General features: G+C 37.4%; 1 protein-coding gene and 1 long non-coding RNA gene across 22 annotated transcripts in view, besides 1 other annotated feature; one reads left to right on the top strand and one right to left on the bottom strand.

The window, feature by feature from the left end:
- Positions 1–27,821, bottom strand: part of NAALADL2 (N-acetylated alpha-linked acidic dipeptidase like 2) — a 1,369,567-nt gene that overhangs the window by 751,267 nt on the left and 590,479 nt on the right. The window contains exon 2 of one of the 21 annotated variants that reach the window (XM_047447878.1): positions 12,391–12,492. The exons of the other annotated variants lie outside the window; for them this stretch is intronic. The gene's annotated coding sequence lies outside the window, so the exon portion shown is untranslated. The remainder of the gene's footprint in view (positions 1–12,390; positions 12,493–27,821) is intronic. 21 annotated transcript variants of the gene reach the window in all.
- LOC124906305 (uncharacterized) lies at positions 102–2,950 on the top strand. The gene is made up of 3 exons (XR_007096173.1): positions 102–143; positions 660–769; positions 2,733–2,950. It is a non-coding gene; the product is annotated as an uncharacterized LOC124906305 (long non-coding RNA).
- Positions 6,518–7,312: an enhancer, noted in NCBI's record as "OCT4-NANOG hESC enhancer chr3:174769760-174770554 (GRCh37/hg19 assembly coordinates)". NCBI's record gives its function as "activates a minimal SCP1, AML or CMV promoter by ChIP-STARR-seq in naive and primed H9 embryonic stem cells {active_cell/tissue: H9 hESC(naive and primed)}" and the evidence as "EXISTENCE:reporter gene assay evidence [ECO:0000049][PMID:30033119]".

Below are 27,821 nucleotides of genomic sequence, written 5' to 3'. Positions count from 1 at the left end.
TTGACATCTGTAAGCAGCAAGAAAACAATAATTATTTAGAGATAACAGAATATTTCACTTCCTTTGAAAAACTTGTGGGAAAAAAGAGATGAATAAAAGATGTTTAAAGAAAAAAATGAAGAAATACGTACACACAGCAACAGGTAAAATAGCTTTAAAAAGCAATGACTTCACACGAAGTGTCATTATTTTACTTAAAAAGGTTAATAACAATATTTCTTGGGCCAAGCATTTTCAATACACCACCAGAAGAAACCCATTATAAAGCAATGTCCCTGACAACTCCTTCTAAATTCACTATGAGGATTATACAAAGATTCATCATATTCTTTTTCAGTCAAGACTAGTAGGTAGGAGGAAAAAGCAAAACTGAGCCATCTAATCTATTCACTACTTTTTCTTTTCACCAATGGCAGGATTAGGTTTAGACAGCCCGAAGAAAACAGCACAGGTCTTAATGTTAAGGATACTGCTGAAAGGTGACACTCTAGCTGCCGTAGAGAAAATAGTTTAACAATCTGGGTAGATTCAGAAAGCCTTTCCTTAGACCTCACTTATTGTAATTCCACCTCTTTTCTAAAAATGAGCTTACGAGCTTTCATACAGATGTCTTGCTCCCACAGACACAGAGTGTCTGCATGTGCTTTTTCTCTTTTCAGAAGGTTCTCTCTGCCTGCCTCCACCAAGTGTTGATTATGCACCCCCCGACTTATCATTCCTCCATTTTCAGCAGATTTGGCCCCTCAATTATGACACCTCATGGATGTAGGTATGTTTACTTATTGTTTGATTATATTTTGTTTTCATGATTCTTAGATGAATAACTGCCTCCCTCAGTAAAATAGAGACTTGTTCAGTGCCTATACTGAGTTACTAATATATTAATAGCACCGAGCCCAGGGCCTAGCTATGTGTGAATAACCAATAAATATTTGACAAATTAATAAATTAAATGACTTAATCAGTAGATAGATGAATACTTAATCAACCAAAAGTTACTAGAATTGATTGACAGCTATGGGTGATTGTTCTCTCTCTGGATTTAGAAAACTCCAGGTTTCCACATTGTGCCTAAAGAAGTTTTTCCCTTTCCTTCAAACTAACAATGGTTAGAAAATTGTTTACACAACAGTAACCAAACCATTCAGTTGAGAAGCATTTTTCTCGTAATAGAAGTTTACCAAATTGTCATTGAAAAAAAATCACTGTTCTATTTAAATCAAATATGTCTAGAGTGCTAACACTATTAGTAATCTGTTCTCAGAGAACTTAATTAATTGGATGCATTTAATTATGGTACATAGAGTAATTTCAGTATGGGTTTGGAATGAACTCTACAAACTCTATTGACTAGCTCTGACAAGAAAGTTAGCATGAATGCCAGACATGATGGCCTAGGGGTTAGAGGATTCTCAAACAATGTAGTAGTGACAGCTGTGAATTTAGGGGGATAACTTAGTGTCTCAATTAACTATGGAAAGTCCCGTTTACATTGAAGTCATTGATAACTTGGATTTTAACAGCCAACGATCTGGATTCCTTTTCTCATATGAGTATAAGCAGGAATCTTAGTGACCTTGACATCTGAATGCATGGAGTCATGGATTTGTTACACAGCCACCTAAGGCTCTCACTGCTTGAATCCAGCTGACAGCCTAATTAAACAGCAAGAGTTCCTGGAGGGGAATGTTAATGAGTCTACTTGGCAGCCAACAGTCTGTTCCCCAGATGGTGCAGGGCTTATAAACTGTCAACAGGGTAAGAGTAGTGAAGGAAGTTGAGGAAAATACAAAAAGTCTCCTACATCACTGTAACTTTCTAAGATGCTAGGTCCATGATGAAGATATTTGGAGATATGGCAACCGGGGTGAGGGTAGAAAAGTAGTAGCACATCTATTTATCTTGAGCTCTAAGAATACATCAAGAATTGCTTTGGCTTTTCAAATGGACACCACTCTGTTGTGTCTGGGTAAACTGAATGGTTATTTCAGGCACGTTTGTCAGGTTGATCGTGACTGAAAAAAATGGTAACGTGATTAAAGCCCTACCATGTTCGTAGTTGGTATTTATTATTTTTCTGTCTATTTTTTCCCTTATAGATAGAATCTAGACTATGAGAGCTCCCTCTTAATTCAGTTATTATTGAATGAGTAACATCTTGCCAAGAAACAGTCTCCTGTGACCTTCAAGTCGTGTCCTCCCTATTTCAAAGTAGTCAATGTGAAAGCAACTTACATTATCTACAATTAGAAATGAAAATGCTGTTGGGAACAGGCCTCCCAAATCTGGCCATAAACTGGCCCCAAAACTGGCCATAAACAAAATCTCTGAAGCACTGTGACATGTACATGATGGCCATGATGCCCACATTGGAAGGTTGTGGGTTTACCGGAATGAGGGCAAGGAACACCTGGCCCACCCAGGGTGGAAAACTGCTTACGGGTTTTCTTAAACCACAAACAATAGCATGAGTGATCTGTGCCTTAAGGATATGCTCCTGCTGCAGATAACTAGCCAGACCCATCCCTTTATTTCGGCCCATCTCTTTATTTCGCATAAGGAATACTTTTAGTTAATCTATAATCTATAGAAACAATGCTTATCACTGGCTTGCTGTTAATAAATACATAGGTAAATCTCTGTTGGAAGCTCTAAGCTCTGAAGGCTATAAGACCCCTGATTTCCCACTCCACACCTCTATATTTCTGTGTGTATGTCTTTAATTCCTCTAGCACTGCTGGGTGAGGATCTCCCTGACCCACCTTGTCTTGGCAAGTGGCACCCATACGTGGGGGCTCGAATCCAGGTTGAAGGGTCACCGGAGAGATGGTTGGAGAATGTGGAAAACTAAGCTGTAGGACACCTGAGTACTCTTAAAGCAATTCCCATGGTGAGTAAGAAGGGGAGCTCAGAAGCATCAGGGTAACAATGGGACAAGTGTGGGCTCTGGTTCATTCCACTTTGGAAACTTTTCACACTAATGATAAGAAGGAAGGAGAGTATAACCAAGTAACAGAAGAGGTTACAGAGCAGGTTTGTTTGCCAGCTAATGCTAAAGTGGCAAAGGAGGGAGAGGTTCATCCCTACCCTTCTGTACCCCCTCATTATTATTTTGAAGAAAAAGAGCGGCCGGACCCTCCAGATCTTTCTTTTCCGGAGGACACTGGGCAAAAAGTAGTTGCCTCAGTGACTATTCGAGCAGCACCTTTGGCGACCACTCTCAGTTCTATTCAGGCAGGAATTCAGCAAGCTAGACAAGAGGGTGATATAGAGGCTTGGCAGTCCCCTGTTAGAATACACCGCCCAGATCAACAGGGAAATATTATAGCTACATTTGGTCCTTTTTCTTTTAAATTCAGGAAAGCACATTTAGTTGATTATATCAAGGCCTGTGATGGTACTGGAGGTAATCTGCATAAAGCTACTTTGTTGGCACAGGCAATGGCAGGACTGAGAGTGGATAAAGGAAATACTTTGTTTCCTGGAGCTTGTTTTAACTGTGGGAAGCATGGTCGTACTAAAAAAGAATGTAGAAAAACTCAGCGAGTCAGGCCACCGGATAGGGGAAAATAGAAAACCGCTGAGCCTGAAATATGTCCAAAATGTAAAAAAGGAAAACAATGGGCTAATCAGTGTCACTCTAAGTTTGATAAAGATGGGAACCCGATTTCGGGAAACGCCATGAGGAGCCTGGCCCAGGCCCCATTCCAAACTGGGGCATTTCCGACTGAGGCCATTCCCTCACCCCTGTACAATGTCTGCCCCCTGCCACAGCCAGTAGTGCTGCAGTAGATTTATGCTGTACAAAAGCTGTGAGCCTTCTGCCTGGGGAACCCCTGCAAAAGGTCCCAACAGGAGTCTGTGGACCCTTGCCAGAGGGAATGATATGATTACTTCTAGGAAGGTCTAGTTTAAATTTGAAAGGGGTACAAATACACACAGGATTCATTGACTCAGATTACAATGGGGAAATTCAAATTGTTATATCTACTTCTGTTCCCTGGAAAGCAGGGCCAGGAGAGCGTATAGCACAGCTCCTGATTGTGCCGTATGCGAGAATGGGAAAAAGTGAAATTAAACGAACAGGAGGATTTGGAAGCACAAATAAACAAGGAAAAGCAGCTTATTGGGTGAACCAAATTACTGATAAATGTCCTACCTGTGAAATAACTATTCAGGGAAAGAAATTTAAGGGTTTGGTAGATACAGGAGGACATTTCAATCATTTCTCTACAGCACTGGCTATCCGTGTGGCCAATTCAACCTGCTCAATTTAACATAGTTGGAGTTGGTAAAGCCCCCGAAGTATATCAAAGTAGTCATATTTTGCATTGTGAAGGGCCCGATGGACAACCTGGAACTATTCAACCAATTATAACTTCTGTACCTATAAGTTTATGAGGGAGATTTATTACAACAATGGGGAGTACAAGTTATAATTCCAGAGCAGTTATACAGCCCTCAAAGTCAACATATGATGCATGAAATGGGGTATGTCCCTGTTAGGGGACTAGGAAAAAATTTGCAAGGTTTGAAGGAACCGCTTCAAGGGGAAAGACAAAGTTCCCACCAAGGTTTAAGATATCATTTTTGATAGTGGCCATTGTTAAGCATCCAGAACCTATACCTTTAAAATGGTTAACAGATAAGCCAATTTGGATAGAACAATGGCTGCTAAGTGAAGAGAAACTGTAGGCTTTAGAGGATTAGTTAGTGAACAATTAGAAAATGAGCACATAGCTCCAACATTTTCCCCTTGGAATTTTCCAGTTTTCGAAATTAAGAAAAAATGAGGTAAATGGAGAATGTTAACTGACTTAAGAGCTATCAATTCAGTTATACAACCCACGGGAGCATTACAGCCAGGATTGCCTTCTCCTGCTATAATTCCAAAAAATTGGCCCTTAATAGTCATAGATTTAAAAGACTGTTTCTTTACTATCCCTTTAGATGAGCAAGACTGTGAATGGTTTGCATTTACAATTCCAGCGGTAAACAACCTGAAGCCTGCTAAGCATTTTCATTGTTTTACAGATGGGTCTAGCAACAGTAAAGCTTCTTATTCTGGCTTAAAAAGTAAAGTTTTCCAGATGCCCTATACTTCAGCTCAAAAAGCGGAGCTTGTAGCTGTAATTGAGGTATTGGCTGCTTTTAATATGCCTATGAATGTGAGTTCTGATTCTTCATACGTGGTTCATTCCACACAGTTAATTGAAAATGCTCAGTTACGATTTCATACAGATGAACAACTGATGACTTTATTTACCAAATTGCAAACAATAGTTAGCAGTAGAATGCACCCTTTTTACATCACTCACTTTGGGCTCATACACCTCTTCCAGGAACTTTGACTTAAGGGAATCAAATGGCTGATTGCCTAGTTGCTAATGCAATATCTAATGCGAGACATTTTCACAATTTAACCCATGTTAATGCCTCTGGTCTCAAATGCAGATACAGCATTACCTGGAAAGAAGTTAAGCTATTATCCAGCGATGCCCAACTTGCCAAATGGTACATTCCTCATGTTTTACGGGAGGAGTTAATCCTCGAGGATTGGAACCTAATTCTCTTTGGCAAACGGATGTCACACATGTTACATGTATGTGTGGACACCTTTTCTCACTTTGTATAACAGAAAGTTAGGAAATAGGTAAAATAATAACTTGGGGCAGAGGTTATGCTTGTGTTTCTCCAGGGCTGAATCAACAGCCAATTTGGATACTGTCAAGACACCTGAAACCTTATCATGAGCCAGATGCTGAGGCAGACATTCCAGGAGGATCTCGAGGACCCCCTGGTTGCAGCCATGCTGAGGCTGATGCTGAGGAGGATCCCAACTGTCACAAGCAACACCCATTGAACACAGCCAACCACCTGGGGAGGATCAAGAAGCTGTCACAGATGGCGGAAGAAAACCTGAGGAAAGCGGGACAACAATTCACAATGAGGAATTTAATGGTAGCTATGATAGCGGTGATCACCATTGCCATGAGTATTCCTACAACAAAGGCTGACACAGAGAACAATTATACTTATTGGGCATATTTATCAATCTTGGCTGGCAATAATGCCTGGATGTAATCACTCTATGACATAGTTACACATGCTTTCTGATCTCAGTACTTACCATAATAAATCTGCTCCTAAAATTGAGGCATACCGCCCTCAAAAACCTATTTGTAAACAAAATTGAACCTGTTCAGAAAAAATGAACGTACTTATTTAGGAAGATCACATTGCAGAACAGGCAGAGGTGCTGCACAACAATTCCTATGGAATCATTATTGATTGGTCCCCTAAGGGGATGTTTAGCTTGAATTGCACCTCTCGGTTTGCATGCCACGGCCACACTATGTTAAGCTGGTCTGAACAAAATGGTCAGATGGTAGAAATGACAAGAAATACAGCAAGAGTTCCTATATCTGGAACCATGGCAGTATAGTGGCACCTCAACCTCAAATGATATGGCCCTTTACAGGAGCTAAACCTAAAGATTTGTGGAAACTATTAACAGCTCTTAATAAGATCAAAATTTGGGAAAGAATAAAAAAGTATCTAGAAGGACACTCTACAAACTTGTTTTTGGATATTGCAAAATATTAAAAGAACAAATATTTAAAACATCCCAGGTACACCTGACCTTAATGCCAGGAACTGGAGTGCTTGAAGGGGCTGCAGACAGATTAGCAGCTAGTAACCCATTAAAATGGATAAAAACACTTGGAAGCTCTGGGATTTCAATGATGATTGTGATTTTAATCTGTGTTGTTTGTCTTTGTATAGTCTGCAGATGTGGATCCTGACTCCTCCAAGAAGTAGCTCACCATGACAAAGCTGCCTTTGCTTTTATCACTTTGCAAATCAAAGAAGGAGAACATGTTGGGAAACAGGCCCCCCCACAAAATCTGGCCATAAACTGGCCCCAAAACTTGCCATAAATAAAATCTCTGCAGCACTGTGACATGTTCATGATGGCCATGACACCCACCTGGAAGGTTGTGAGTTTACTGGAATGAGGGCAGGGAACACCTGGCCCACTCAGGGCGGAAAACCACTGAAAGATGTTCTTAAACCACAAACAATAGCATGAGTGATCTGTGCCTTAAGGACATGCTCCTGCTGCAGATAACTAGCCAGACCCATCCCTTTATTTCCCATAAGGAATACTTCTAGTTAATCTATAATCTATAGAAACAATGCTTATCACTGGCTTGCTGTTAATAAAGACATAGGTAAATCTCTGTTGGAAGCTCTCAGCTCTGAAGGTTGCGAGACCCCTGACTTCCCACTCCACACCTCTATATTCCTGTGTGTGTGTCTTTAATTCCTCTAGCACCACTGGTTGAGGGTCTCCCCAGCCGAGCTGGTCTCGGCAAATGCCTCTTCTGCTTTCGTTAGGCTTCCTCTTTATGTGTTCAGTTGGTTCTTAATTAAGCTTTGTAGCCAAATGGACGTGGGAAAGCCACAGTCACGCTTTACCTTCACTGTACTTCAGAATTCAATCCCAAGTACCATTTGTGACAACCAGACCCTACAGTGACTCCCAAGAATTTTCACCTCCTAAAGTCCACACCTTTGTATAATCCCTTCTCCATAAGTGTAATTAGCTTCTAAATAACAGAATATGACAAAGGATGTTGCGCCCATGGTTAGATTATGTTATCTAAACCTCTGCCTTAGCTAACTGATCGAGAGACTCTTCTGCTGACCTTGAAGAAGAAAGTTGCTATGATACTGACTGCCAGTGCAGAAGCTATGGAACAGGGGACTACCTGTGACCTCTAGGAGCTGAGAGGCTCAGTTCTATAACCACAAGAAACTGAATCCTGCCAATAACCACCTCCACAGGTCTGTGAGCTCTGGAGAGAAATGCAGCCTGTCCAGACTTGAATGTTGCCTTGTGAAACCCTGGGTTTCAGGACAGGAGACCCCTCAAAGCTATGCCTAGACTCCTGACCCATGGAAACTGACATAATAAATGGGTATTGTTTAACCCACTAAGTTTGTGTTCATTTGTTATGCAGCAATAGAAAACTAATACATTATGGAAGAATTACCCATATTTGGCTCTAAGTGTAAATGAAAAGAATCTTCAAATCTTAAGGTTGGATGGGACCATACACATCATCTATGAAAATTTCCCATCCTCAATCTACAGGACCCAGTAAATTTTTTATGCCATTTCTTATTGAACTGAAAGAGGAGTTTACATCCCTGGTTCTTAAGAAATACTTTTATACTGACCCAATATCTGTCTTCCTCACTAATGCTAGCTTTATTAACCCATACTAAGTATATTTCCTTCTTCAAATAAGTGTGCAGCTCTTATGCCTCTATTATTTTTTTTATTCTTCAAGTAAAACAACCCTAGTTTTTTCATCTTATCGATACATGACATTTTGTCAACACAACTCACATCCTGCTGACATAGTTTTGAAGCTACATTAACTCTTATGTGCACTCATAACTGAAGATAACACTCTCAATTAGATGTGGTCATAATAAAATATAATGGTAATATTAATTCATTTCACCTAAATTGATACTATTTCTATAACCTTAATCTGTTACATTTAGAAAAACTTTACCTTTATAGTATGGTAATTCCTCAACTAACATCATCAATAGGGTTTCAGAAACTGGGACTTTAAGCAAAACTGCATAATGAAACCAGTTTTCCCATGAGTGAATTGATAAAAACAATAGCCCCACAGTATATTTCTGGTCAGAAAACATCAAACTTTGAAATGAAGACCCAAAACACTTCTAATATTAAACATTGAAATAAATGTGAGCATTAAATGCATTTTTAAACATGGCAAAACCCTGTCTCTACTAAAAATTCAAAAATTAGCTAGACGTGGTGGTGCGTCCCTGTGATCCCAGCTACTCGGGAGGCTGAGCAGGAGAACTGTTTGAACCCAGGAGGCAGAGGCTGCAGTGAGCTGAGATCACGCCACTGCACTCCAGCCTGGGCAACAAGAGTGAAACTCTGTCTCAAAAATAATTAAATAAATAAATAATAAAGATTATTCAATCAAGTAAGATAATTATTTACCCAATTATTCCAGCTCAGTATCACGGGTTGCCAGAGCCTATCCCGGCAGTTGGGTCACAAGGTGGAAACCACCACTGGACAGGATGCCACTTCATCCCAGGGCACACTCACACACACACAACCATGCTTACTTAGACTGGGACCATTTATACACACCAATTATCCTAACGTGCACATCTTTGGAATTTGGGAGGTAATCAGAGTACCTGGAGAAAACCCACGCAGACATGGAAAAAAAATGTGCAGACTCCACACAAAGAGTGGCCCCAGCTGGGGATTATTATTTTTTTCACAACAACATTATAACAAAACAATATTAAACAAAACAACATTTGAGAACTTGCTGTATTTAATTGCGGTCCATATTACAGATTAATCAACACCCTTTCTCAACTACTTTCTCTCTTGTCTTCCTCTATTACAGAATCCAGAGAGCTTAATGCTTGATTTTTCTGACTCTCTTGCAGCTATGGGAGGTTATGTGACAGAATTCTGGTTAATGAGGTACAGAGAGAAGTCAGCTAGGGATCAATCCCCTTTTTTATTAAAGGATAAAACCTCATCAGGAAAAAACTCTGGTATTTCTTTTCCCCTTACCTGGAATGTGGACAAAACCCTTAGAGGTTTAACAGCTCTCTTGTGGCCATGGTGCTACAGTCTCAAATAGAGGGGATACAAAGGATGGAGTCCTGACGATAGCATTGGCTGGCCAGGCCAGACTACCTTGCACTATACACATCCTGGCTTAGAAAAGTCTGCGTCTATTTTTTAGGCCTCTATACACAGGTTTTCTGTTACAAAAACTCTTCCTTATCTCTGGTTTTACTTTCCCTGGTTTCAGTTACCTACAGTCGGGTCAAATGTTATCTAAACATATAAATTTCAAATAGCTCACCATTCTGGGTAGCATGATGAAATCTTGATCTGTCCCACTTCCATTTACCCAGTGTGTGAATAATCCCTTGGTCTAGCATATCCATGCTGTATAAGCTACCCACCTCTTAGTCATCAATATCATTTGTTCCAATACTAAATCATCAAGATCATCATGGCTTGATGAGCCAGGATTACCTGAGGCAGATAATCAGTGGATCCTGGCTGATTCTAGGAAAAAAAAAATATCTGTGGGGTTGAGTACTATTCAAGGTTAAAGGCATCCACTGGCGGAGGGCTCTTAGGATGTATCCCCATGGATAAAGGGAGACTACTGTATTTGCAACTGATTACATCCCTAATTTATACTGTTATTTTTCTAATAGAGAAAATAAAGCTTAGGAAACTAAGTGGTTTGTCTAAAGCAACATATCTAGTAAAAGAATCACAAACTCCCTATGCAGCTTTCAGGCCACCATATGGTTCTGTGATTTCACCTAATGCAGCCACTCCCAGGGTGTATTATGAATGCTCCATTTCAAATATATTAAAAAGAGAACCTTAATGTTACAGTTGCCAAAGAACTGATTAAGAAATACATGCTCTGAAACCTAAGAGTATCCACATATTAAAATAAAACAATACTTAGCTGTAAATATATTTTAAGATATTCATTGAAAAACTCAATTCCGATCATAAAATTCAATCCTATAAGTAAACCAAATGATGCATAAATGGTTCCTGAGAAATGCTACTTCAAGTCTAACCAGAACAATAATCTCCTTTCCTCTTTCCTTTAATTGCTTACTTTGACTTCACCACAAAAAAAAAAAAAAAAATGGTTTTAGAAGTTAAATCTCTACTTTCAATGATGGCTTCAAATGAACAAACAATTTCAAGTTGCCACAGCAAGCACACCGAAAACATTATCTCACTGTCATCACAACACAAGAAAAAGGGCTTTGGGGGCCTTCCTCAACTTTTTTGAAAATGCAGTAGAAAAAAAGAACAATTTTTGCTTTCTTTCTACATAGCCATTTTCTCCCTTTCTTCCTTTCCACAATAGGTATAAACTTGCCAATTTGATTTTAACTCTAAAAGATATTTTCCTGGCAGATAATCCCTCATTTGAACAAAAATCCTTTACCTGACATTTTTTGCCATTTTAGGGGGAAAAACCCACACTCAATGTATAGTTGAAGTGAAATAAAAAATGTAGCTTTCAATTACTTTTTATTTCCAACTTATCAAAAAGCTACAGAAATTAAAGTACAAATCCCACTACCAAAGACATAGTAAAAGGTTGGAAGAATATTCTAAAGGTCACATTATCTTAATGAAGTGCCACTTCCTGACAACATGGCTATGAAATTGGAGTCATATACTCCATTTAGTGGGAAATGCTCTGTGAAATCCATGCCCTCTGCACTCTAAACAAAGACATTGGTAATTTTCTTAAAAGGTCACACACAAATGTGTTATTTAAAACTAGGCATTTGCCAGTTGTGAATATATGAAAGGTGAATATCAGATTCAGGAATTCGCAAAGTTTTTTAATAAAATGCCAGAGTTTTTCATGTATGTTTTAATAATATAAAATTGTGTCAGCTAATTTTATTCTTTGATCTAGTCTCAGTTTATCAAAATACTAAAGGAAAAATTAATCTGATGAGTCTAGTAAAATTTCATCTAAAACCGTCTGAGACACTAAAACTTTAGAGTGAGTTTGGGTACATTTACAAAGTTTGTGTTATATTTGTCTTATTTTAGCATTTTATTGGGTAAGTTGTATGTTTCTATGTATGTTACAACTTTTAAAATACATAGTATTATTGGAAAGTGATTTCTCAATATCAGAAAATCCCCTAGTGTAATATCTGTCATTTATGTGTACCATAAATAAATGTTTGAAGAATAAACTTATTACAGACCTATCAACCAGAGAAGAAATTTAAAAAAAATTACATATCAAAGTCCATGATTAAACAAAAACCATTGCCACCCTGCTATGGGAAATACATGTTTTTTGTCATTTTCGCAAAGTTCATTTAGCCAGAAAGATCAAATAATGACAATGTGAATGTTAACTTTGGGGGGAATCCAAAACAATTGTCCCCCCTCCAGTTATATGACAAGGACAGAATGTTTGTGTCCCTCTAAAATTCAAATGTTGAAATTCAAACCCCCAATGGGATGGTATTAGAAGGCGGGGGCCTAGGGGACATGACTGGATCATGACAGTGGAGCCATTGTGAATGGGATTCGTGCTCTTATAAAAGAGACTCTGTAGAGTTCCCTCACCCCTTCCACCATCTGAGGACACAGTAAGAAGATGGCCATCTATGACACAGAAATCAGTCCCTTGCCAGACACTGAATCTTCTGGCACTTTGATCTTGGATTTCTCAGCCTTCAGAACTGTGAAACATACATTTCCATTGTTTATGTGATACTCACTCTATGGTATTGTGTAATAGCCTAAACAGACCAAGGCCGACTTCTAGGTTGCTGGCTTTCACTACGTTTGCAGGGATGATGGTTTTCAGAGCTATCACAGAGCTGGGAAGAAGATGATGAAAACAGCACATTAAAATGCTACAAAGCTGGCTGTTGTTCTTGAAATGCAGCTGTTTTTCTTAAATATATGCTTCTTGGATTGTCGCAAGCCTTTGTATATGCTGAGTTCCTAAAAAGATGAATTTGGCAGTTTTTGCCAGTATGCTTATTGCTGTCGCAGAGCAACAGATTGTTGGAGGTCTTTACTTCATTATCCTCTGAGAAACTTCTCTTTTCTGAGAAGGAATCCAAAGCCAGTTCTCTCATGGAGAGGGCTTCGATGAAATGACTGCCACTTGTGCTTAGATAAACCAGACATTCATATTATTTGTCTGAGACCTCCACTTGGAAATATGGACAACAATAGATTTATGAAAAAAAAGTATGAAAAGCTAAACTAACGTAAACAAATAGAACTGGTTCCTGAGGAAACAAAGGTAATAAATCCCTGATAGTCAAAATAGCTGCCCAAAGACCAACAGCATTGCATCACTAGCATCTTATTAAAAGTTTACCATCTCAAGCCCATCCAAAGCCCACTAATTCCGAATCTGCATTTAAACAAATACTCAAGAAGACACATGCACAGAAAAGTTTATGAAGCACTGACCTAGAAAATAGAAGATAACTTTTAAAAATCACCTTAGGGTTAATCACCTTAGAAAATACATTGTACTTTTCCACTTCCCCAAAAGCAGACTTGTAAAAATGTATCAAGCAGAAAGGAAATATTGGATCCTGAAAACTAAAAAATATTATTTCCAAAATTAAAAAAAAAAACATAAAGTCTAGACATATTAACGGTTAGGAGGTTCTTGTTGAGTGTCTCTTATCTCTGAATGTCTTATGAAGCAAGGCACTTATTAATTTTGTTTCAGACTGTCTTTCCAAGAATACTCGAATAGTAAAAAGTCTTGGAAAATAGTGATAGTGTTCCTCCACAATGAAGGCCAGGTTTGCTTAAAGCCTTAGAAGATACACATAGTGTTTATCTCTGGAGTAGAAGGAAGGCATGCTTCATATCCATCTTAAAATATTTTAGTTCTCTAAGCTTGGGATTTCTTGGTTGCAATTCTTGAGCAAGTATCTGGGCTCATCCTTGCCACCCTGCGTGACTCAGAGGCAACAGAACTGACATAATAATTAGATTATCATACTGGCCGCTATACTGTGAGTAATAAATCATTTTTCTCTGATTCAAGAGTCTCATGTCTTCTTCCAGTATTCATGAAACTATGGGAGGCTAACTTGTTCCTCTGAAAGTAAATTAAAATCTCAAACCCTTCACAGATTTTGAAAATAATAAAATAGACAGTAATAAATACCAAACTAGTAACTTAGAGGATAAACAGTCAAGGAAATCTCCCCATATTTTGAGAAAAGATAACAGAAAAATTATAAACACAATTTAAATGACCTGGGGATCCCAGAGATAAAACAGAAATTCTGTACAAGGAAATAACAAAGATAATGGAGGAGAAGAGAAAATGAACTAATAGAAATTTTCTTGAAAAGGACATTCATGTCTTCGGGTGGAGTGTCCACGGAGAGTGTGATGCAGTATGAAAGTTAGACTTAAACTTAGTTATATCACTGTGAAGTTTCAGAAATTCAAGTGGGAAGAGAAAATCCTAAAGGCCTTTATGAAAAAACAGATTTTCCACAAAATACCAATAATCCAACAACTATTAGAGTTCTTATCAACAAAGGCAAAATTTTATGTTAGAAAACAGTGTCTTCAGGGTTGCAATGGGATGGGGGAAATAAAATATAAACTGATAAACATATATAAACATCTGAAATATCATCCTATTATGTGTAAAGGGATAATCAAATAATTTTCAAGCATGAAAAAAAAAAAATCAGAAATTGCGCCCCTTCGCTCTCTGTGACTAGAATTAATCAAGGAGAGACTCCACCAACAGAAAAATATAATAAAGAGAGTAATGTCGGTGATAAGAAGCAGTAACAACTGAGTAAGACTCAGAAGTGAAAGATACTAGAAAGAAATCAAAACCAATCTGTAAGACTTTGATACTTTTAAGATTCTCTTCCCAGCACATTTTCTATGGACCCAAACAACCTATGTGGCCCCATAGAAAATAATAATTATATAAATGTAGTATTACAGTTTGTTCATTAGTTTTCAATAGTTGAACACTAGGCTTATCACTCTCACCTATAAAAAATACCTGAAGTGACAGAAGATTATATGTATGAACATGAATGTTTTAATTGTTTTATGTGGCAGCTCAAAACTTTTATGATTAATAGTTTACCAGGAATATAACAGTTATCAGATTCCCCTTGCAATACACGAGACAGATAATGAGATGGAAAGACAATAAATGTATTTATGGTCTAAATATTTCAACAAATATAATGCAACAACAAAAGCAACACAAATATCAAAATAGCAAGACCATCTCAGACTGGAGATGAGAGAGAGAAATGATTTCAATCATTCTTCTCATTTCTAACATTTGAGTCCAGTTCAAGATCTGATACTAGTCCAAAAATAGGAAAATCCCTTTCTGGAGCATCTACAAAAATATACAAAAATATAGTGTATTTTTTTCAAAATTAACATACAAATTCCACTGTGTTTCTACACACTAAGAACAAGCTACACAAAACAGAAATTGAGAGAATAATGCCATTTACAATAGCATCAAAAAGAATAAGATACTTAGGAATAATTTTAACCAAACAGGTATGATGAAAACTATAAAACATTGATGAAAGAAATTGAAGAAGACATAAATAAATGAAAAGATATCCTATGCTCACAGATTGGAAGAATTAACATTTTCAAATATTTGTATTATGTAAAGCAATTTATAGATTCAAAGTAATCACTGTCAAAAGTACAATGGCATTTATGATAAAAATAGATGAAACAATCCTAAAATTTGTATAGAATTACTAAAAACTCAATAGCTAAAGCAATCTTAAGCAAGTAGAACAAATCTAGAGGCAGTAACACTTCCTGATTTCAAATTTTATTACAAAGCTCTAGTAATTGAAACAGTATGGTACTGACATAAATACAGACACATAGACTAACAGAAGAGAAATGAGAGCCCAGAAATAAACCCATGCTTTTAAGGTCAACTAATTTGACAAGAGCACCAAAAATACACAATGTGGAAATGATAGCCTCTTCAATAAATGGTGTTGAGAAAACAGATATCCACATGTAAAAAATTAAAATTGGATCCTTAATCAACTTAAAATAGATTAAAGACCTAAACCAGGCCAGGTGCTATGGCTCACACCTGTAACGCCAGCACTTTGGGAGACTGAGGCGGGCAGATCACAAGGTCAGGAGTTCGAGGCCAGCCTGACAAATGTGATAAAATCCCATCTCTACTAAAAATACGAAATTTAGCCAGGCATCGTGGCGCGTGCCTGTAATCCCAGCTACTTACGAGGCTGAGGCAGGAGAATCACTTAAAACCGGGAGGCAGAGGTTGCAGTGAGCCCAGATTGTGCCGCTGAACTCCAGCCTGGGTGACATAGCAAGACTTAATATCCAAAACATACAAAGAAATAATATAGCTCAATGGCAAAAAATCAAATAACCATATTTTAAAAATGGGCAAAGGACTTTGTGTTAGTCTGGTTTGGATTACTGTAGAGGAATATCTGAGGCTGGGTAATTTACAAAGAATAAAAAAGTTTTATTGGCCTTCTGATTCTGATGGTTGGAAAGTTAATGACTGAGGATCTGCAACTGATGAGGGCCTCAGGCAGCTTCCACTCATGGCATAAGGCAAAGGGATAGCCAGTGTGTGCAGAGATCACACAGAGAGAGAGCAAGCAAGAGGTGGGGAGGTGCCAGGCTTTTTTTAAGAATCAACTCTCATGGGTCTGAACTAATAGAGTGAGCACTCACTAACTCCCTAGGGAGGGCATTAATTTATGAAGGATTCACCCCCGTGACTAAAACAACTCACTTTAGGTCCCATCTCCAACACTGGGTATCACATTTCAATATGAGGTTTGGAGGGGCAAATATCCAAACCATAGTGGAACTGAATAGATATTTTTCAAAAGAAGACATACAAGTGATCAATAGATATATGAAAATATGGTCAATATCACTAATCATCAGAGAAATGCATATCAAAATCTCAGTGAGATATCACCTCACATCTATTAGAATGACAATTAACAAAAAGTCAGAAGATAAGAAGTGATGATGAGGATGTGGAGGAAAGGGAACCCTTATTCATTGTTGGGGGGAATATAAATTGGTATAGGCACTATGGAAAATAGTATGTTAAGTTAAAAACAGAAGTGTCATGTGATCCAACAAACCCAATTCTGTGTATATATTACAGTGAAATAAAATCAGTATCTCAAAGAGACATCTTTACTTTCATATTTATTGTACCACTATTCACAATAGTCAAAATATGGAAACAACCTAAATGTTCATTGATGAGCAACTGGATAAAGAAAATGAGGTGTATATATAGTATTCCAAAGAAAAACAGGCTATATATATAGTAAATTATTTGGCTTCAACAAAGAAGGAAATTCTGCCATTTGTGATAACATAAATGAACCTGGAGGACATGATATTAAGTGAAGTATGCCAGACACAGAAAGGCAACTATCATATGATCGCACATATGTGGAATCTAAAAAAAGTCTAAATCAGAAGCAAAGGATAAAATGATGGTTGCCCTGGGTTAGGAGTTGGGAGAAATGGAGAAAAGTTGGTCAAAGTGAACAAACTTGCAGTTGTAAGATGAATAAATTCTGAGGACCTAATGTACAGCATGCTGACTATAGTTAATAATGCTGTTTTGTACAGTTGAAATATAAGAGCAGGTATTAACTGTTCCCATCATACACACAGAAAAGGTAAGCATGTAAGGTGATAGATGTATTAATTTTCTTGATCTTGGCAATCATTTCACAATATATACATATATTAAAATATACATTGTACCTTTCGAATATGTACAATTTTTGCTTGTCAATTAGACCTCAATAAAGCTGAAATATAAAAATATAGAGATAGATACACAGGTATAGATATACACAGTGCATCCATAATTATAAATCATGTGTTCCTCTAAAGCCTGCAAGTGTACATAAAGCATAGAAGGAATGACGGGAGCATCTAGCCAAAGCTACAGTGTCATTGTATAAACATGTTAAGGAAATGCATGGAAACCACACTTTTAAAGACGCTCATCTCTTCATTTTTGCAGGATGTTTGTCTGAGTGTCATCCATGAGCAGAAGATTACTAAGATCTATTAAACAAATGAAGTATAACTCTAATCCTGACACTGGCTTTCAATATCTTAAGAAAATCCCAAAGACCTCCTAGCTTTGTATAGTTTATAACCACTTAGAAACTGTTTAAAGAAGATGACAGAGGGTGCTGTGAGCAAAACTTCAAGTCATTCTGCAAATAGATATTCTTAGAAACAGCAAATTTGAAACATGGTTTCCTCCACCTCAGCTTGTAAATTATAGATTTGCTTACATATTAACATCTTCAGAAATGGAAAAGTATTAATTATACTGAATATATTTTTAAGAACCTTGAAGAAGTGCCAAATGAAGAACACTGTACTCCAAATGTGGTTAATAATGTACTCCAGACACCAGATCTAGAAAACATAGCATCAGCATGAAAAGTGACTTTTCAGACTGAAAAGTGCTATATCCACGATATGCAAAATATCGATAATAATGAATTCCAAGAGGCAGTTGCACAAAATAAGGTTATGGCACGAATAAAAAGCAACTTTTCAAGCTGACAGAAAAATTAAGGCAGTAAGAGAGCATGAATGAAAATGTACTGTAAATATGCAGTGGCATGCAAGCACCGTGTCTACAGTTACTTGCTGTGTGCTCAGGCATGAACATTTTCTGGACTCTGAGTTGATGCATGTTTTTAAATATGGGGTTCTGTATAACTTAGTGCAGAATAAATATTGTATATCTTGGAAAAAACAGAAGCATGAACACCCTTCACAGAGACTGAATTTGTTATGGCCTTGCCTATAAAAGAAGGATAGAGGATTTTATGAATAAATGACTTTACTTTTTATATAGCAGTTCATAGTTTACAAAACACTTTCATATTTATTATCTCAATTGAGCCTTGAAGTAGTATACTATCGTAGATGGAAAAAAGGTTATTAGTGTTATAGAGGTATAAAATGATACTCAGAAAAGTTCACATTCAGATGGGAAGTGGAGGTCAAGATGGGGTAAAGATCAAAGCAAGTCTTCTGGGTATTAGTCTGGAGCATTTGTCCCTTACACTGCACTGACACTTTATGGAAACGGCCCCCGTAAGTTTTCTACCACAAGGCTAGAAGTACTTCAGAATACATTAAATTGCAGGTCCAGTCCTCTTTTACACAAATATTGACTGCCTATTTTGTGTCAGGCTCTGTGAATGGTGCACATACAATGATGAAGGGGAAAAAACAGATTCTGCTTTAATGGAGATTATAGACTAGTTAGGAGACAAACAGTAATGAAATTATTCATTTAATTAATGGATTTCTGAGGTTGGGTGTTTTGATGGACAGTGACACCAGTTTATTAAAAAGTTGTACACTGGAAGAAAAGCAGTTTGAAAAGAATGATTACAATTTCAGGCGTGGACATGTTTATTCAGGAGTTTGAAACACCCAAATCATGATGCTAAGTAGACAGATTGACACAAGACTGGAGCTTGTAAGAGAGATCTTGGCTGGGGTTGAGTGTATGCGTGTGTGTGCACATATGCCTGTGCGCATGTGTATATCTTTTTTGTAAGTGTAAGATCTATACATTTTTGTAAAGAAAAGCTAAAAACTGAGTATAATCAGTACAGAGTGTTAGGTATAATCTTGTACAAATTTGTATATTCAACCGCAAAACTAAAGGAATGAAAGAATGTGTGAATACATGAATAAAAAAAACAAGAAGCTACATAAGTATCAAAGACAAATATTTTAAAAAATGAAATTGCTTTGGAAAAATGGAATATGGCTTTCCTACTGTATACTAAACTCTTGGTACTCAGTAAACCCTTCACAGATAGAATTTCCTACACTAAGAGCACCACAAACTATTTCTACTGTTTCACTTGTCTAGTAAGTTTAAAACTAGCAAAATAATGGTAAAGGGTCAAAGTACTCCAGCACAAAGAATACGAAATAGAACAGCATATTATCTACTTTTTATGATTCATGATGATCAACTACGAAGGAGACTACATAAAATTATACTACATAACCCTATTGTCCAGGTCTCAGAAGACACTGCCTGCCTGCATACGAGAGAATAGTTCTGAGTGAACGTGGAAGAGCTGCATAAAGGAGGAGGGATTGTGTAGGTATCCTATTCAGTTAAAGACATAATAGCTCTGAGGTCAGGAGTTCGAGACCAGCCTGGCCAATATGGTAAAAACCTGTCTCTACTAAGAATATAAAAAATTAGCCAGGCGTCGTGGCACATGCCTGTAGTTCCAGCTACTCAGGAGGCTGAGGCAGGAGAATTGCTTGAACCCAGGAGGCAGAGGTTGCAGTGAGCCGAGTTTGTGCCACTGCTCTCTAGCATGGGCTACAAGAGCAAAACTCCATCTCAGAAACAAAAAACAAACAACAGAACCTTGTAGCTGAAACTTTATAAAAAATAAACCAGGAGATAAGGAAAGAAAACATATTTTTCTTTCTTTAAAATGAATATTCATTATTATATTTGGTCCAAAAATAAAAGGGGGGTGCTACTCCTAGCCCGCAACTGCATGTGATCTCACCATGTGATAAATTCCACTATCAGAGAGTTTGTTTATTTGGTTTGACTAGATAGCATTTTTCCGTCACCTTTAGATAGGATGGGCATTTGTTCTGGTTTGGACAGTACCAATTTATACCTCTGGTCCCAACGCAATATTAATAGCACCCTCTTTCACTTTCAAAACTGTTTACGTTTGCACGATAAATTATTTGTTCACTACATAGGCAAAGCTTAAAAAAAAAAAGAAAATTCCACTTCCACCTCAGCACGTAAAATTTAGATATTACGTGCTAAACCCAGATATTCTGAATCAGAAGGTCATTCAGTTTGGGACCAATGACTTTATTTTAAAAGAGCCTCTGATGTATACTTCAAGTTACGCATTGTTGATGTAAAGTTCATTAAGAATTATTGAAACTAAAAGAAAATGATTCATGGCAAATGGCTACATTCTGAAATAACAGTCACAAGGACAAGTAGGTGGCTAGTCTAAAAGCAAAATTTTTGTGGTATCTTTATGAATTTATTTTTAAGCATACACAATTTTACCTTGTCAAAGGTCTACAACTTGCAATTGTGTGTACTGCTCCAGGGGTGAGCAAATAGGTAGTATGTTGGTCATAATCTTGTGGTTCAAAACAAAAAGCTTATGCCTTAGGTGAGTCTTAGTGAAAGTGTCAGTAAATTCATTTTTTTCTTATTTTATTTATTTACTCAGTGTATAGCTTTATTAAAACAATGACATGTAGGCAACATTACTGATCAAAATCTCTAAAATTTTGTGTTTTATAAGAAGATTTGTTAGCAAATAAATATGTTTCATTTAGCATTCTTCCCACGAATCCTTAAAAAAATGTTAAGCCTTCCACTTCATTTTCTATTTAAAGATTTTATCATAATATTTATTGGCTTTTACTCTAAGAAAAAAACATCTAGGCTCAAGGTTTTTGGACTGTCATGACAATAAAAAAGTTGTCATATTTCTCTTCCTCTCTTGTAAGAATCTACAATTTCTGATAATCACTAGGTAACAATTAGGAGGGAGGCCAAGAAAGTCTTTACTTCGGCTTTTTAAATCCACGCTCCCTTCCTTTGGTTTTCCCTTCCAGGCAGCAGAGGCTTCATTCATTAGTACAATTTGATTCTGATGTAGTACCTCTGTCTAGCACCTAAGGGGCCTTGCAAGCATGAATGGGGATACCGTGGCCTGCTCATCCAAGCTCTTTGTAGACTCACACAAACATAACACTCCAGCCACCCCCTTAGAACTAGGATGTGTATACCAGAATGCAGTCTAACTGGAAATGATCTACCTAGGAAAAAGGCTCACACAGGAGGTAGAAGCAGGCATGAGGCCATTTAGACAGAGAACTCCAGGTCCAGGTACCCAGAGAGCTTGATCTTGAGGTAGGCAGACTGTGGAATCCAGATAGGGAAATCACTCTGCCATGGAGCTCTGGTAACCTTGTACATCTTCACAGAGGCCATGTAGGCAAGGGTTAACCCCAGCTAGTCTAAGCTCTGTCAGAACACCCTGTGATTCTCCCAAACTGTGAGAACATGGGAGGCTTGTGAGGAGATGCTACAAAGCCATTTATCTCCCATCTCCTTATCTTTCAGGGGTGTTGTCATGAGGCAATTTCTCATCTCTTTGGTTCTCCTGAGGTATGAAGCCCTCTTTCCCCTACCCTTCTTCTAGGGTACAGCTGTAGGCTAGCAGAGTGCTTGGTTGCAGCTTGGAAGCAGCATGTCAGCAAAGGGTGTTCTAATACTCATGTGACTTAGTCATATCACCAGTGCCTTTCATGTCAATGTTGTCCTGGAGGACAAGTGGGAAGCTGGCACCTTAGATCATCTAGTTTTCACTCTCTCTGTTTGTAATAAATGATCTGGATCTAAAAGTAGCTTTTTTCGTTACTGGCAGAATCTTTTAGCCTTGTTTGACTTCATGGGTGAGAAACGTAGTTAAAGGAGGCCCAAGCAGGGTACTCTCGGTCAGAACCCCTACTGTCCAGGTCTCAGAAGAAACGACCAACCTGTGTATGAGAGAGTAGCTCTGAGTGAATGTGGAAGAGCTGCATGTAGGAGGAGTGACTGTATCATATTCAGACAAAGAAGTAAAGGAATGCCTCAGCTTTTGGTGAGGAGAAAACAGGAGTTATTATGCTGTTGTTGTTGTTGTTGGGTAGCAAGTATAGGAACGCTAAAAAAAAAAAAAAAAAAAAGAACAGATGGAAAAATATGACACTGGCCAACAGCAGGAGCATTAGGAAAAACAATAAAATATTTTTTAAAGTAGTAAAACATCAAGTTAAAAAAGTGTGTCCTATGGGCTGGGCGCAGTGGTTCATGCCTGTAATCCCAGCACTTTGGGAGGCCAAGGCAGGCAGAACACGAGGTCAGGAGATCGAGACCATCCTGGCTAACATGGTGAAACCCCGTCTCTACTAAAAATACAAAAAATTAGCTGGGTGTGGTGGCAGGTGCCTGTAGTCCCAGCTATTTGGGAGGCTGAGGCAGGAGAATAGTGTGAACCTGGGAGGCAGAGCTTGAAGTGAGCTGAGATCGCACCACTGCATTCCAGCCTGGGTGACAGAGCGAGACTCTGTCTCAAAAAAAAAGAAAAAGAAAAAAAAAAATTGTGTTCTACGTGATCCTGATTTTGTAAAACAAAACATGCAAAAATGAGCAGAAATTAAAAGTCAGTATTATTTTGTTATTTTTAAAACATATTGATGGTCGAAAATGACAATAATGACCTTTATAATTAGAAAAGATATAAATATACAGAAAAAGTGGTTCAGAAGACACACCAGAGTAAGAAAAAGATAAACGAAGTTAATAATCATACAAGCAAAATGCTGAAAGATAATTTTAGTGACATTTTGATTCTAATTAAGGATTTTAACATTTACTTCAACTAGTGTATCTTACCATAAATGAAGTAAAAAATAAATTACGCTTTCCAAATTACTGACCTAGTAAAATTGTTGAGTATCCTTTTATCTTTAAATATCTTCACTTTTATGTAGGTCTACCCGCTTTACTTGCCTCATCTATACAAGCTAAATGCATTCATTCTGAATTTTAGTAAGAAAATCTTATGCCAGAAGAGAACAGGCAGTTTCTTAAAATTTAGTCATATCGGGTGTAACTCAGATATTCAGATTTGGTCAGTCCAGGTTGGACTTAGGAATCTGAATTTTCAATAAGCTTCCCAAATGAGTCTGATATTGGAGGTCTGGAGAACATATTTTAAATGATTTTGAATTAACAGCAAAGCCCTAATTAAACATAAATATACCTAATTCTATATGTTTTGTTTAACCAAATATCTGATGTCTGAATTTTTAAAGGCCTTCTGCTTTTAACCAGTCTTTTCCAGTTTTTTCACATTCTTATATATTCATTGCTATATCAATATTAAAACACAGCATCAACCACACATGTCCTTCGTCTTACTCTAGTCTGCATGCCTACTAAGCCACTTTGACAACCTTGAGAGTATTGTGCCCCTCAGGAGCACAGAGTCAGGGAAAAAGGCCCATAGCATAAAGCCAGACACCCTGTCCCTTGTCACAGACCCTCCACATTTGGTCTTATCTTATATTGCTCTCCTACTGATGGCACCCTGACCTGCTGACTAATGTGGATTGGCCTTTCATAGGACCATACTGTTTTTCCATTTTAAATTATCTTCGTCCTTCTATCCCTCAGACACACATCAATGCTTATCCTCATTGGAAGCTACTTTAAGTCTACTTTATTCTTAAAACATACCTGTCAACCAATTCAAACTTCTTTTATATCTGAACTCTATTGTGTTGCATCCCAATTTTCAACCTAGGCATAGGTCATGCAGAATGTACCTGTTCAAGTAGATCCCCACAGATCCAGTTGAGTATGGCAAGTTATAAAGAGGAGTTGGTCGTGGGACAAATTATACATCTCTCATAACCTTCATTCATTTATTATGGCCACCTTTATTACTTCTTTCAACTGTTCAACAAATATCTCTTGAATACCTACAATATGCCAGAAATACTTCTGGACACTGAGAATACAGTAGTGAACAAAACACTCAATGAGGTTATATTTTAATGAGAGAAGACACACATTAAAGAAATATATAAAAGATAGTAATAATAATTCATATGATTATAACTAACACTTACTGAATGCTTACTGATGCCAGGTGCTGTTCTAAGTGCTTTGTGCTAACTCACAACAATTTATGAGGTAAGTACTATAATAATTCCTGTTTGATAGATGAGTAACTCAGGCACGGAAAGTTTTAAAAACTTGCCCAAAGTCATTAAGCCAGCAGTAGGAGACAAAGACTGAATTCTCGGCAGTTTGGATCTAGCATTCACCCTCTTAAGTCACCAGTATGCCTTACTATCAATAATAAATAACATGCCATGAAGAAAAATAAAACATAGTCAAATGGGATAGATAGTAATGGAGAAAGTGTGGCCAGGGGAAGTCTCTTTGATAAGATGTCATTTGAGTAGAGACTTGAAATAAAATAAGGGACCTGGCCATGTGGCTATACAAGGAAACAGTTCTAATTTGAGATGATAACAGGCGCAAAATTTCTAATGAGAGGTTGAGTTTGGCATCATGAACATTTGCCATAATATGATTTATTTCAACTTGAGCACAAACAAATTAAGTTTCATCCAACTTAACTGAAGGACAATCAGAACTTGTATCTGGCTTTAAAGGCAACAATGCACATGTGCTGTACAATAAAAGGCTGGTGTGGCTAGAGTTTACCAAGCTTTTTTTAAAAAAGCAGAACATAAATGAGGTCATCCTTTCAATAGCCAAGGAGGGCTTATTAAATGGAGTGTCAAAGGTGGAGACAGCAAGATTGAATCAGATCCTAAACATACTTGAAAAGGAAAACCAACAAGATTTTCTCATGGATTATACATGGCATGAGAGAAAGAAGATTAAGGAGATGTGACAGTTTTAACTTGAGAATCAAGAAGCGTGGATATTCTGAAACGGAGAAGACTACAAGAAGAATAGGTTTGGCCGTACACAGTGGTGAGGCTTCATACGTTTTGCTTTAGAAATGTTTTATCTGAGATACTATTACATATTCAAGTGATAATGTCAAATAGGCAGCTCTATATATGAGTCTCAAGTTCAGCAAAGAGGTTTGGAATGCAACTTCTTAGACTATAAATTCAGATATGAAATTCAAGATGGCGCTTCACATCATGAACTGGATTAAACCACGTAAGGAGTGAGAGTAAAGGGAGAAGAAAGAGTTCCAAGCATTGAGCTTGTGATATTCCAGTGTTTAGGGGTTAGAAATAAGAAAAGGAGCAGCCAGTGAAAATGTGGTATCCAGGATATTAGGCAAATAAAGTGTTTCAAACAAAAAGGAGAGACCACCTGTGTCAAATGTTGCTGATAGATTGAATTACATGAAGACTGAGATACAACTATGGGATCAGGCACCTGGAGATGACTGATAACCTTGACAAAAGGAATTTCACTGACACATACCGGGAATAAATTCTTCTAAGTAGCTGTGACATGATAAAATTTAGACATATGCTGAGAAGGAGTGCCTTTCCAGGTGAGTGACAGTTGATGAGCAAAAAACAGAATAGTAAATATCAAGACAGACAATATCATCTGTTCATGAGGAAGGAACAGTAAATACAATGGTTCTCAGCAGATTAACAGGAGATAGGACAAGGTAGCACGGTCAGAGAAGAAGTTTATGTGGGTGGGCAAAAAAGTTCTTTCTAAACTTTTTTGGTTCCTCAGAAAAGGAGGGAGCTAGGGTGAAACCACTAACAACACATTTATGGAAACCATCAAATATCATCAGAGCCATTAACATCCAACGGAACCAGATCCACGGACCCCTCCCCACCACCAACCTTGCTATCTCATTTACTCTTCCATCCCCCGCTTGAGCTTTGAGGAACAAAAGATGTGTCATATAGCATGATTATATTGAACAATTTTCCTTTTAAATAAACTGTGGGCCACAGTCTTCACCTGTGCTGATTGGGAAGAAGCAGGAAACTCTGAAATGCTGAGATGGCATTAACAAATGAACATGACAGGAGAGCTATGGCATCCCTTTTAAGGGAAGAATAGAGAAAATGCTATAGTTGAAAGCAGTGATTGGAAAAAATAAAACTCCATCCACTTTATGCCCAAATGTGTTGAGACTCCTAAGTAACTTGATGACACAATTAAACTACATTGGTAATAAAATTCCTGGTAGTGAAAGTGCTATGGAGAAAAATATGGAATTAGAGAATAGTTGAGTTGAAGGAAATGATATATATATTTTTTAATTTTGTAGTCAGGAAAACCTTTCGTGAGAAGAACTTTGAGGAAAGACATTTGAACATGCAAACATCTGGGAAAGAGCCTGCCAGGTAAAGGCAAAGGCACAGCATAAAAAAAAGGCTGGCTGTTGGATGGCTGAAAAATTAAATTATATAATATTTGTTATTGTGGTACAAGTTCTATATAGGTAATGCTTGTGTATTGACACTTTAATGTGGAAATGAGGATTATTTGGTGAACACCTGGCATGTTGTAGATATTAATAAACAATGAGCAATATAATTCTTGATATAAAAAAAGAAATCACTGAATTTACTCAAGGCTTAATAGAGCTTACCGCATGGATATCACTAGCACTAGTATTTGTTAAAAAAATGCTAATTTTTTGAGAATATTAAGCAATTACACAGATTTATTAATAATACTGGATATTAACAATTTTGTTTAAAATTATAGTAGAAAAATTATAAAAATCCTACAAGAAAACTAGAAATACCCATCTGGACATCAGCCCTGGGAAATGATTTGTAACTAACTATACAAAAGCAATTGCAATAAAAATAAAAATTGATAAGTAGGACTTAATTAAACTAAAGAGCTTCTGCACACCAAAAGAAACTATCAAAAAAATAAACAGACAACATAAAGAATGGGAGAAATGTTTGCAAACTATGCATTGGTCAAAGGTCTAATATTCAGAATATATAAGAAGCTTAAACACATTAATAAGAAAAAACAAATAACCCCATTAAAAACTGGGCAAAGGATATGAATAGGCACTTCTCAAAAGAAGACATAGAAGCAGGCAACAAACATGAAAAAATGCTCAACATCACTAACATCAGATAAATGCAAATCAAAACCGCAATGAGATACCATCTCACACCAGTCAGAATGGTTATTATTAAAAAGTAAAAAATAACAGATGTCAGTGAGGCTGGAGAGAAAAAGGAATGCTTATACACTGTTGGTGGGAACATACATTTGTTCAGTCATGGTGGAAAGCAGTTGGAGACTTCTCAAAGAACTAAATACAGAACTACCATTTGATCCAGCAATCTCACTACTGGGTATATACTCAAAAGAAAATAAATCGTTCTACCAAAAAGAAACATGCACTTGTATGTTTGTCTCAGCACTATTCACAGTAGCAAAGACATGGAATCAACCCAGGTGCCCATCTGTGGTCAATTGTATAAAGAAAATGTGGTACACATACACCATGGAATACTACGCAGCAAT

Source organism: Homo sapiens, chromosome 3 (genome assembly GCF_000001405.40).
Source record: "Homo sapiens chromosome 3, GRCh38.p14 Primary Assembly".
Classification (NCBI taxonomy): Eukaryota; Metazoa; Chordata; class Mammalia; order Primates; family Hominidae; genus Homo; species Homo sapiens.
The sequence above is the reverse complement of the archived record's forward strand: the minus strand, read 5'-3'. Positions and strand labels throughout refer to the sequence as shown.